We start from the raw sequence: 13,068 nt of genomic DNA on the forward strand, positions 1-13,068 counted from the left end.
AAAGTCAAGGGGCCCATCTGATGAGGGCCTTCTTGCTGTGTCATAACATGGCAGAGGTCATCACTCGGTGAGAGAACAAAAGCATATCAGCTCCAGTCTCTCTTCTTATAAAGCCACCCACCAGTCCCATCACTGGGGCACCATCTTGATGATCTTATCTAATCCTAATTACCTCCCAAATATCTCACCTCCAAATATCATCAACAAATGAATTTGAGGACTGTTTCCAACACCTGAAATTTGAGACACATTCAAACCACAGCAGTAGGTATCAGACAGTTTCTATGTTTTGGTTACAGAAATAAATAAATTAGAAACCAGAAAGGAGCATGAAGGCTGAAAGTACTGGGCAAGTCATATCGAATCAGAGTTAATAGCTTTGGTAGAAAAACACAAGGAGTGTTTCTAAGAAGACAATTAGTGCCTTAGGGACAGACATCACACGGGGTAAGAATTGAAACACGAAAGTGAAGACTTCTAGATATTTTATTGAAATTCTATAAAATAACAAGTCCTCTATTTTCCTGAAGACTTCCATTTTATTTTCTCATTTGACTTGAATTATTAGGCCAAGAGTCCTCTCGCTACTACAATTACTTGTGTTAGGACACTAACAATTTTTGCAAAGGCTGGAGGTTAATAGAAAGAGTCTTCTTCTTGCCCCCCAAAAAATTCTGACTCGGCGTTTGTATAATCTCTCACTGAGGGTTGCCCTTCTGAGGAACTACCTGAAGTAAACAAACTATAGTCTCAGATACTTCAGAAATCAGTATTTATTAAGGGTGACAAGTTTCAAATACACAGGATGCTGTACGGCAGGACTATTCAGTCTGGTTGGCTGAGGGATAGACAACAGAAATCTCCAAAGCAGCTCCAAGCATTCTTTCTTCTGTTACAGGCATTTTAAGAGAAGCATGAGGAATGCCCAGAAGTCGAAGAAATATCCCTCTTAGAAGAGCTCACTGGCATCTATCCCCTCATACCTCCTTCCAGTCACCTCTTATCTTTTCCCAGGACTCTGTGCTTAAATTCAATCTCATTATTAGCAGCCACCAACTCCTTCACCCCAATTCAGCCATCACAGTCAAAACACAGATACCCTTCTCCAAACACTGGGATCTCAACTGAAGGAAATTAAAGGTAGTATATTCACTCAAAAAGGGTAAGCCCGACTATGGTAGAATTTCTTACCAAGAATTGCACAGTAGAATCAGTGGGTCAAATCCAGCAACCAGAAGATGTGGCAACCACTCCTTATATTTTGCTTGTGCTTTAATTGCATGATTTACAAATTCATATATATGGTTCCATGGTCCCAATGAGCAACCTTTCCTCAAAAAGTAGCGAAATATCGAAAACTTCTCGTACTTCAGGCAGTATGCCAAATGAAGTTCATTTATCTGGGCTCCATATTTCAAAAGAATGTTCACAATTCCAAAGAACTCACAGCTCCACCATAAAAAATAAAAACAAAAAAAGAAGAAGTTAGACTTTGACATAAGATACTTCTTACAAACAGTTAATAGTAGTTACAGCTGGGGAATAAGTATGGCAGATTAAATAGTGGATGGTTTCTACACATCTAGTGGATTGAGATTAGAGAATGTGGTGGGGCTTTTGCTTTTTACACCCTCCTGCATGGTTTTTAATTTTCAACTGTGAACAGGTATTATTATAATTTAAAACATTCATCTTAAATGTCATTTTAAAAAAAATTATCATTGACAGAAAACTCAAATTGTGATATTTTGTACAAATGAGTATCTTTACTACAAAATACTTTGCTTAACAAAATCAATAAACAACGTGATCAATCCTTAAAACTAAATGATTCTAGGAATCTCTAAGATATCATTTTCCTTAGCAATAACCTTAGCCAATTTCCCTCCCACTTTAAACTTATTTATTTTTCTAGATACAGGGTCTTGCTCTGTGGCCCAGGCTGACGTGCAGTGGCACAATCAAGGCTCACTGTAACTGAACTCCTGGGCTCCAGTGATCCGCCCACTTCAGCCTCCTGAGTAGGTGGGACTACAGCTACATGCCACCATGCCTGGCTAATTTTTAAATTTTTTTGTAGAGACAGAGTCTCACTATGTTGCCCAGGCTGGTCTCAAACTCCTGGCCTCAATGAATCCTCCCGCTTTGGTCTCCCAAAAGGTATGCCACCGTGACTGGCCTTACATTTATAATGGTATTAAAAAAAATTTAAAAACTTTTTTAATTAACACAAATTTAATTTACAATACTACATCTTAAAATTAATTAACTTCTATTATTATCTCCATTGTAGATGCAAAAACTGAAGCTGAGTCACAGAGCTAGTAATTGGCAGAACTGGGATAATGATATCAAACCAAAATCTAACAGTGAATATGACATAGCAAATTTCTGCAATATCTCTTCTCTATTATGAAAACTGAACACTTCATGATATAGCCAAATTGAAGAATATTTTAGAGCCAGATCTATGTTTTCCAAAGTAGGTTACACAGAACTTTAGTTCCTGAAAATGATCCATATGAAAAATACTCTCCAGTGAAAAAAACTGAGAAACCTCCTTATACAGTATACAGTGAGCCTGAGAAAGATAGGATGAATGTATTTTTAAACAATGTGTTAGTTACATTTCCAAATATATGCTCAATGTTTTTATTCAACTTTCAGATACTTTTCAGAAGAGGTACCTTTAAAATTAACAATGGGTCCAATCATTAATCTGAAAAAAGCAAACAAAAGTATAAAATGCCCAAAATTCTGTAAACACAAGAACAATGGTATATATACTTAAATATAAGTTCTATCCTATGTTTCTGGACTTTTCAAATCTTTGTAGATCCATTCCTCTTTTAGGAATTCACAAAGCACACTACAATAAGAAAAATTCTCAAAAGCCCTCTACAAAAGAAACATATTCAATATTATTTAATCCTGTACTTCCCAAACTTATTTAACAATACAACCCCTTTAATCCCATATAATATCTATTAACAATCTACAGAATTAGTATTCTACCAAAACACACTTTAGAAAATCAGCTCTAAACCTCTTCCAATTATTCACATTGCCTTGTATTAGAAGGGGCAAGAGTAAATCCCAAAAGGCTTATAAAACTGCACAGTGCTACAATATAGACCATTTCCCAAAAAAACTACCATTTGTTTGAAGAATAAAATAAACACAAAATAAACTGGAGAAGCATAGAGTTTTGTCAGCATGCCCTGAGCTTCTGGGAAGGTTATTAAAGAAGGTCTCAAATACATGTGCACACTACAGAAACACAAGCAACTTCAACTTCAGGGCTCTATATGACCTTGATTATTACATGTCACTAAGCACACAATAAATCCTTGAGCATGGATAACCTCTGGTTAAAATATAAATTAGTATGTATTTCTCTTAACACTTCAACAAATTCTCTCTGTAGCCCTAATATCAAATTGAGAAAACTCTTCAAGTACCCGAGATTTAAACAAAAGTCTATCTTGTTTAACATAAATATCAAGAATTAATTGTGACATAGAGGGACTGTACATTATATAAGAAGTGAACAACATCAGATACTGAGAGGAGAGATTTAAAAATTAAAATCCAATGTCTAGACCTTATTTTGGGGGTTTGCACATTTTCTACCACTCCGCTCCTTGAAGTTCAAAACTATGCAGAAAAACAGTGCTCACACATAAAAGAAGCACAGTAAGAGAAAATTCAACATGAAAACAAAATTTACTTTAAACAAATAGAAATGGGCAAATATCTTCAGCATTTTATGTTCAATTAGCAAACAAAATATCCAACCAACTTATTAGGTGAATTATAACAGGCCAAATAGTGAGTTTTACTGAATGGCTTTCGACCATTAGCTGAAAACAAGATGAAGACATTCAGTTTTGTCAGATGTGCCCACACGATATGGTGGCTAGAATGGACACAATTAATTCTATGAAACTAATGTAATAACAATGATTAGTATCAACTAGAAAAACAGACAAAACCAGGTGAGCTAAGCCACAATCTACTTCTGTGGCCATATATAAAAGGCATTCATATTTGCTCAAACAGTCCTAAAACTTCTCAACTTCCCTCTTCCTTTCCCATTCCATTTGGAGGAATCTTTTTCTTATATTTCCTCATTCGAGATGGATTACTCAATTACTCTTGAAAGACTGGCTTCATATCAATATAGCTGCTAACTTTTTAGCTCCAAAGGACAAAAACTGCTTTTGTTGCAGGATCTATACAGTAGTGGAGGAGACACCTTTCCATCATCCCTGGGAGTGGTGAAAGGAGCTAAGTGTCATTCTCACAAAGAATACCTACCAAAAATGTTTCAGAACACTGATACTGAGCTTAAAAGTTGAATTAGCTGAAAAAATAATAAGGAAGAGAAAACTTAAAACCTGGGGCACCTTAGGAGGCCAAGGCAGGAGGATCACTTGACCTCATAAGTTTGAGGCTGCGGTGAGCAATGATTGCACTACTGCACTCCAGCCTGGGCAACAGAGTGAAATTCTATCTCAAAACAACAAGAATAAAGAAAATCCAAAGCTGTTATTTATCATTTTCATCACCTTTTGGTGTTAATTGTACTATTTATAAAAGTAGATAAAAGTTTATTAGAATACAACAGGTCAATAGTGCAAGAAAGTCCACAAATAGTAAATTAATAGATTTCAGAGAAATACTAGAAAATATACAAATGAGAAAAGGGAAGTCTTTTAGCCATTAACACCTGAAGTCGGATAGGTGTTAATTACAACAATCATACCAAATTAACACTATCATAACACATTGTTGCTATAAAAATAAAATTTTTAAACTTATACCATTAAACTTACTATCTATTACCAAATCCCTAAAAATTAGAATATCAAATAATTAATTTTGGAAAATTGAATCTTCTAAGTTACCTGGTACCAGTATTGTGACCAAATTTGAATTCTTATAACTGGTAAAAGTGATATAGGAAATTCGTGTATCACTCATTAAGAAAAGTAAGAAGGGCTAGGCGTGGTGGCTCACACCTGTAATCCCACACCAAAAAGCCAAGGCGGACAGATCACTTGAGGCCAGGAGTTTGAGACCAGCCTGACCAACATGGGAAAACCCATCTCTACTAAAAATACAAAAATTAGCCAGGCGTGGTGGCATATGCCTGTAATCCCAGCTACTCAGGAGGCTGAGGCATGAGAAACGCCACAACCCAGAAGGCAGAGGTTGCAGTGAGTCAAGATCACGCCACTGCACTCCAGCCTGGGCCACAGAGCGAGAGACTGTCTCAAAAAAAAAAAAAAAAAGGGAAAAAATAACATATGATAGCTATTTTAAAATTAAGATTATATTCAATTGTCCTTGCTTTATAATTGGTGACTGTAATTAATTTAATTAATTTTAGTCATGTGATTGTAGGCAATCCAAATTTTAAGATGCTTACTTATCAAAAGAAATAACCAAAAACATATTTTTCAGCTTCAATTTTTTTCCCTCAGACACTGGTTATATGACCCTCTTGACATACCAAAGCAAAACCTACTGGGAAAATGATCATTTTCTTGCTTAATTGGAAAAGCTTCATACAGAAACTCAAAATGAATAAGTCTCATATTACATATACAGTAAATGTATAAGCAACCAGCCAGACATTAGATAATAAAAATGTGGTATTTAGTTTTCTTGGAAATAATGAAAGGTTTTCCTTTACCTATTAGGTAACTGGTCTAAAAAAACAAAGATTCTGCATTTTATCAAGATGATTCCCTGTGCTTCATGTTGTCTTTATTCTATCTGATCACTTATGAAAACTCTCTAATAAAGAACTCAGGTTTTTCTACAACTATATAACTTTCTGCATTTGCCTTTTGAAGCCATTTAATTATCACTCTAGATGAGATAAGTGACTATTATTTCACATTGACCTGTGATCCTACTTTGGTAAAGTTTTTTGAACCTTGATATTTTTGACAAAATTCCCACAATCAAATTCTACGTCTCTTTGACCTTAAAGTTTGCTATGTTCTATTTTATAGAATAAGGTGTTGCCCAATTCTAGAATGAAAAATAAAAAGACTAAGAGAATACACCCTCCTAAAACAGATATTTTGAGGTTTTGACTTTATTTTTAAAGGCTAAAAATATAGCATTTTCCAATGACTACTTACTGAAAATCTACCTAAGAATATATTGGTTCAATTACAAGTCTCACATGAAAGAAAATCGCTCATATGCCCTTTCGATAGCACAAAAACAAATTGTAATTATGCTCACATGGCCACTTCAAAGAGCAAAATTTCTAAGAGATGCAAAAACAAAACACACAAAAAAAACAAAACTAAGTTTGTTAACTCATGTCTGTGACCAAGGACTACTGTACACCATACTGCTTCACCTTTACTTTTCTTTTTCTTCTTTGATCCGGGGAGAGACTAGGTCTCCCTTACATTTGTTTTATAGCATTTTGATTTTTCTGACCATGCCTTTCTGTGAGTTTATCCTGTTTGGGTTTAACAGGCCTCTTAAATCTGTAAATTTATATCTTTATCCAATAATAGGAAGTTTTTGGCAATTATTAATTTACATATTTTTTCTGTGCCCAATCTCCTCTCCTTCTGGATTTTAATGACATGAATGTTAGACCTGTTGATACTGTCCCTTCGTTCCCTGACGCTCTTGTTTTTTTCTTCCATCTTTTTTCTCTTTTGTACTTCTGTGTGGATAATTTCTTTAAATTTGTTTTTAACCTTTAAATTTGTTAAACATTTGTAAATATTTGTAAATTACAAAAGCTAGTTGCCCAGAGAGGGACAGTATGAAAATATGAGTAGATGTTCCAAACAGGCAATATCCTAGAATGCAAGTACAAGGCACACATCCGGGCAAGGTGATCTGTACATATATTGACATTGAGACCAAAGACTCTCTCACCCAAAAAACTAGGGTTTTTTTAAGACAATAATTACAAATTACAAAGCATTTTCACAACTGTTAGCTCATTTGATCCTCAAAATAATTTTCTAAAGCAAGCTTAGGTGTTATTACTATCCCTATTTTAAAGATAATGGAATGAGATTTAGCAGAATGAAGTGAAATACCCAAAGTCACACAGCCATTATACATCTGTGACTCATCCAAGCCCAAGAATCATGCTCCATCCTTATCCCTCCACAAGGCATTGAGGAAGACTAACATATAATAAATATGCTAATCTGATATAATTATTGATTCATTAATTCACAAATATATTTTTAATGCCTAATAGGAGTTAGATCAAGGGCAAATCCTTGCTCTCAAGGAGCTTACATTCTAATGAAGAAGCAGGTATGTAAACAGACAAAATATTATGTCTTTAAAAAGGAGTCAAAAGGCAGCTTCTTTTTTTTTTTGTTTTTTGAATCTGCTATGTTGCCCAGGATGGAGTGGAGTGCAGTGGCGTGATCTTGGCTCACTGCAAGCTCTGCCTCCCCGGTTCACGCCATTCTACCGCTTCAGCCTCCTGAGTAGTTGGGACTATAGGCACGTGCCGCCACGCCTGACTAATTTTTTGTATTTTTAGGAGAGACGGGGTTTCAGCATGTTAGCCAGGATGGTCTCAATCTCCTGACCTCGTGATCCGCCCACCTTGCCCTCCCAAGGTGCTGGGATTATAGGCATGAGCCACTGCACCCAGCCAAAACGCAGTTTCTTAATAGGAAGTCTTCCCCCAGCATTCTCAGCCCTGATTCTTATGCCCAATACTAGTTACTAAGAGAAATATACTTCTAGTGTGAAGAAAAGCAATTCATCCATTCTCACAATCTGGTAAACATATCCAACCTCTTTTGCTCAAGTGTTGAGCTAACAAAACAACCTTCCATATTGTCTTTAGGAACACTGGGTTGTCCGTTCCAGAAAGAGGAAATAAATACTATAAGTAACCTGTTGCTGTTTACCCTGCCCAGCTCTTCTTTTGCTGTGAATAAATAATTGTTCTGGTCTAAAAATCAGCTGTAGGAGAGTTACTATGGGTCAATTCTCTATACCACTGCCATGCAGCGGACTTTTCTGTGATGATGTGCTATTCGGTAGGGTAGCTAGCCACACATGACTCTTGAGCATTTGAAGGGTGGCTAGGGAAACTGAAGAAGTAATTTATAACGCTACTTAATTTTCATTAATTTAAATAGCCACATGTGGCTGGTGGCTACCAATTTGGGCAGCACAGCTCTAGACTCTTGCTACTTAGTGTGGTCTGTGGATCAGCAGCATTGGCACCATCTTGTTAGCTTGTTAGAAATGCAGAGTATGGGCCAGGTGTGGTGGCTCACGCCTGTAATCCCAGCACTTTTGGGAGGCTGAGGCGGGCAGATCACTGGAGCTCAGGAGTTGGAGACCATCCTAGCTAACATGGTGAAACCCCATCTCTACTAAAAATACAAAAACAAAATTATCTGCGCGTGATGGCGGGCACCTGTAGTCCCAGCTACTCGGGAGGCTGAGGTGGAGAATGGCATGAACCCAGGAGGCAGAGCTTGCAGTGAGCTGAGATCGCACCACTGCACTCCAGCCTGGGCGACACAGCGAGACTCCGTCTCAAAAAAAAAAAAAAAGAAAGAAATGCAGAGTATGCCGGGCACAGTGGCTCACGCCTGTAATCCCAACACTTTTGGGAGGTGAAGGGGGGCAGATCACTTGAGCTTACGAGTTATAGACCAGCTTGGCCAACATGGTGAAACCCCATCTCTACTAAAAATACAAAAATTAGCCGGGTATGGTGTCACATACCTGTAATCCCAGCTATTCAGGAGGCTGACGCACGAGAATTGCATAAACTCGGGAGGTGGTGGTTGCAGTGAGCCGAGATGGTGTCACTGCCCTCCAGCCTGGGTGATAGAGTCAGACTCTGTCTCAAAAAAAAAAAAAAAAGAAAGAAAGAAAGAAAAGAAAAGAAAAAGAAAGAAATGCAGAATATCAGTCCCCACCCTAGATCTACTGATGTGGTTTGGATCTGTGTCCCCACCCAAATCTCATGATGAATTGTAATCCCCAGTGTTGAAGGTGGGGCTTGGTGGGAGGTGACTGGATCATGGGGATGGGTTTCTCATAAATGGTTTAGCACCATCCCCCTCGGTAGTGTCCTCACAGTAGGGAGTTCTTGTGAGAGCTAGTTGTTTAAAAGTGTGTGGCACCTCCCACACTCACTCTCTTGCTCCTGCTCCTGCCATGTAAGAAGCAGCCTGCTCTCACTTCGCCTTCTGCCATGATTATGTTTCCTGAAGTGTCTCCAAAAGCTGAGCAGACACCAACATCATGGTTCCTGTACAACCTGTGGAACTATGGGCCAATTAAACCTTTTTCTTTATAAATTACCCAGTCTCAGGTATTTCTTTATAGCAATGCAAGAACGAACTAATACAGAAAATTGGCACTGAAGAGTGGGGCATTGCTATAAAGATACCTAAAAATGTGGAAGCAACTTGGGAACTTGGTAATGGCAGAGAGTGGAAGAGTTTGGAGGGCTCTGAAGAAGACAGAAAGATGAGGGAAAGTTTGGAACTCCCTGAAGACTGGTTAAATGGTTGTCACCAAAGTGCTGATAGTGAATAAAAGTAAAGGCTGGGCTGACAAGGTCTCAGATGGAAAAGCAGAACTTACTGGGAAGTGAGCAAAGGTCACTTTTGTTATGCCTTAGCAAAGAACCTGAATGCACTGTGCCCCTGCTCTGGGGACCTGTAGAACTTTGAACTTGAGAGTGATGATTTAGGGTACCTGGTGGAAGAAACTTCTAAGCAGCAAAGCAGCCTGTCTGCTTGTAAGAGCCTATGCTCATATGCATGAGCAAAGACAGGACCTAATGTTGGAACTTACATTTAAAGGAGAAGCAGAGTATAAAAGTTTGGAAAATTTGCAGCCTGGCAAATGGTAGAAAAGAAAAGCCTATTTTCAGGGAAGGAATTCAAGCAGACTTCAGAAATTTGCATTAAGTAAAAAGGAGGCAAGTGCTAATAGCCAAAACCACCAGGGGGTGGTGGAAGGCCTCAAAGGCATTTCAGAGACCTTCCCAGCAGCCTTACCCATCACAGGCCCAGAGGCCTAGGAGGACTGAATGGTTTCATGGGCCAGGCCCAGTGCCCCACTGTCCTCCACAGCCTTGGGACACTAGTCCCTGCATCCTAGCCACTCCTGCTATGGCTCAAAGGGGCCCAGGTACAGCTCAGGCCACTGTTTCAGAGGGTACAAGTCACAATGGTGGCTTCCACATGGTCATGGTGTTAACCCTGTGGGTGCACAGAATTTAAGAGTTGAGGTTTGGGAGACTCTGCCTAGGTTTCAGAGGATGTCTGAAAAAGCCTAGATGCCCAGCATAAAGGGCCTTCTTTCTTTGCATTGGTCTTGCCTCTACCCCATAAACATACCAGAAAGAGGAGGGAAGGAGAGAGCCTGGAACACTGAAATCTAAAGAAAGTTAGTATAAGATGTTTAGATGAAGGCTGGAGGTGGAAAGAGCATGTTTCTCAGGGATATTTGTACAAAATAAAATGATGGCATTTCCTTGATCATTACTGAATATGAATGATGGGTCTATGGGAGTTCACTGTACCAATTTCTTTACATTTACATATGTTTGAAAATTTCAAAATTAAAAAACAGCAATTTCAGAGATAATGTGTGAGACAGCTAGCCTCCAAGATGGCCCCCAATCATCCTTTCCTCCTCCTATTTGTGCTTTTGTACAGTCTTTCCATATTGAATCAGGGCTTGTGTATGTGATCTGCGGAGGTGACAGCCATAATTTCAATGAACCAGGTCACTGTGACTTCCGTCTTGTTCTCTCTTAGACCTCTTCCTCTGAGGGAATCAGCTACCATGCCATGAGGATACTGCAGCCGTCCTGTGGGGAGGCTTTTATAGAGAGAAACCGAGGTTTCCTGCCAACACCCAGCCATATGAGTGATCCATGTCAGTGAGCCTCTGTGGAAGTTGATCCCCTGGCTCCTGTCAAGCTTGCTAATGACTGTAGCTTCATCTGATATTTAATGCAACTATAAGAGAAACCTCCAAGCCTGAACTGCCCACCAAGCTACTCCTGAATCTCTAACCAACAGAAACTCCAGAAGCTGCATGGCTGTGCCACGCCAGTCTGCACGCTCCAGCTGCCAGACAGCATGTCTTCCCCTTTGTTAATAATTTCTAATGGTTTACTTTCAAGTTAATTTACTCTTTCCTATATCTTTCATTTGGCTATGGAGTCCATGTAGTAAATTTTTCATTGCAGATTATTGTATTTTTCCGTCTTTTTTATAGTTTCTACTACTCAGCTGAGAATTTCTACCTTTTCATTTTTTCCAGTGTGTTAGCCTCATGAAGCACCATTATAAGAGCTGCTTTCAATTATCTGATATTTCTAATATCTGGACCATCTCAGGACTGGCATCTATTAATTGCTTTTTCCCATGAGATTTAGTAATGTTTTATCAGTTCTTCATATGTCAAATAATTTTAGGTTGTCTCCTGGACATTGTGAATGTTATGCTGTATAAATTCTGAGTCCTGGGTCTTGTTATAATCCTTTGAAGAACACTAGCTTTTTGGTTTGTTTATTTCAGCAAGCATATAACCTAGTTAGGTTCAAACTGCAATTTCTGTTTTACCTTATACAGTGGTTCCAACGTCAGCTCAGTTCTCAAAAGCCTTGACTTTCCTGCTTTAAGCTTGGACCCATGAATGTGCCACTCAGGGTCTAGCCTGAGACTCTGATGATAGTTCAAATCTTACTTTCAACATTTTGGGTTGGCTGGGTGCTGTGGCTCACGCCTGTAATCCCAGCACTTTGAGAGGCCAAGGCAGGGAGATCACCTGAGCTCGGAGTTCAAGACCAGCCTAGGCAACACGGCAAACCCTGTCTCTACAAAAAATACAAAAAAAAAAAATTCCAGGCATGGTGGCGCACAACCGTAGTCCCAGCTACTCAAGAGGCTGAGGCAGGATAATTGCCTGAGCCCAGGGAAGTCGAGGCTGCAGTGAGTCATGATCATATCACTGCACTCTGTGTGGGCAACAGAATGAGATCCTGTCTCAAAAACAAAACAAAATAAAAAACAATTTGGGTCTATCTTGTGCATTTAAAGCTTGGGGTAAGTCAGGAATATGCAAATTCATATGCACAATTAGGGTATCCGCTTCTCCAAGCTCTCTCTTCTCCAAGATTCCCTACCATTCTCTGGCCCACAGGGTTCCATTTACCTGATTCCTCTGACCAGAAAAACAGGCTTTCTATTGTGTCTATGTTTCAGCTTCCTCAGTAAGTTTAACAGGATCTATTTAGTGCTCTCTATATTAAACAACTGGTCAATTAATGTTACTGACTGATATTAGCTGCTGGTGCCACTGGTGCTACTCAGCTCCAGATCAGGGTTGGCCCTCAGGGCAACACAGCAGAAGAAAAAGAAGGCCAGGCGCGGTGACTCATGCCAGCACTTTGGGAGTCCGAGGCAGGCAGATCACTTGAGGTCAGAAGTTTGAGACCACCCTGGCCAACATGGTGAAATCCCATCTCTTTTAAAATACAAAAAGTAGCTGAGCATGGTGGCACATGCCTACAATCCCAGCTACTTGGGTGGCTGAGACAAGAGAATCACTTGAACTCGGGAGATGGAGGTTGCAGTAAGCCCAGATCGCGCCACTGTACTCCAGTCTGGGCAACACAGCGAGACAGTCTCAAAAAAAAAAAGGAAAAAGAAATGGGAAAATTCGTTTTCATGTGGGTCACTTCACCAAGTTACCACTCTCTTTCATAATCTATCTGCTTTTGTTCCTTTGAGAGTCCTCAGGTAGTTTCTTTTTGAATTTTGACCACAGTTTTTTGTAGTCATTAGAGAGAAAGAGAGAGGCTGTAGTGGAATTACTCCACTGCATGTTAAGAACTTCTTAGCATCACTGAAGTTTACACAGAAAAAAATTCTACAGAGTAACTGAGACATAAAAAGCAAACCAAACTGTGGAGTTCCTTAAAAATACAACTTTGGAGTACTTGTGAAAGGAAAAGAAAAAAAATCATTTATATCACTATTCAAGAATGAGATAATAGCTCCTATT

The 13,068-nt window shown here is 39.0% G+C and overlaps 2 protein-coding genes across 4 annotated transcripts in view; both read right to left on the bottom strand.

The window, feature by feature from the left end:
- The window catches only part of ASB3 (ankyrin repeat and SOCS box containing 3), a 116,974-nt gene that overhangs the window by 29,100 nt on the left and 74,806 nt on the right, over nucleotides 1-13,068 (bottom strand). For all 3 annotated transcript variants that reach the window (NM_145863.3, NM_016115.5, NM_001201965.2), the window contains one exon: nucleotides 1,192-1,449. In NM_145863.3, coding sequence (NP_665862.1) covers nucleotides 1,192-1,449 — 258 coding nt within the window. The remainder of the gene's footprint in view (nucleotides 1-1,191; nucleotides 1,450-13,068) is intronic.
- The window catches only part of GPR75-ASB3 (GPR75-ASB3 readthrough), a 189,675-nt gene that overhangs the window by 28,787 nt on the left and 147,820 nt on the right, over nucleotides 1-13,068 (bottom strand). The window contains exon 8 of the mRNA NM_001164165.2: nucleotides 1,192-1,449. Within this exon, the coding sequence (NP_001157637.1) occupies nucleotides 1,192-1,449 (258 nt within the window). The remainder of the gene's footprint in view (nucleotides 1-1,191; nucleotides 1,450-13,068) is intronic.

The sequence above is a fragment of the Homo sapiens genome, chromosome 2 (genome assembly GCF_000001405.40).
Source record: "Homo sapiens chromosome 2, GRCh38.p14 Primary Assembly".
Taxonomy (NCBI): domain Eukaryota; kingdom Metazoa; phylum Chordata; class Mammalia; order Primates; family Hominidae; genus Homo; species Homo sapiens.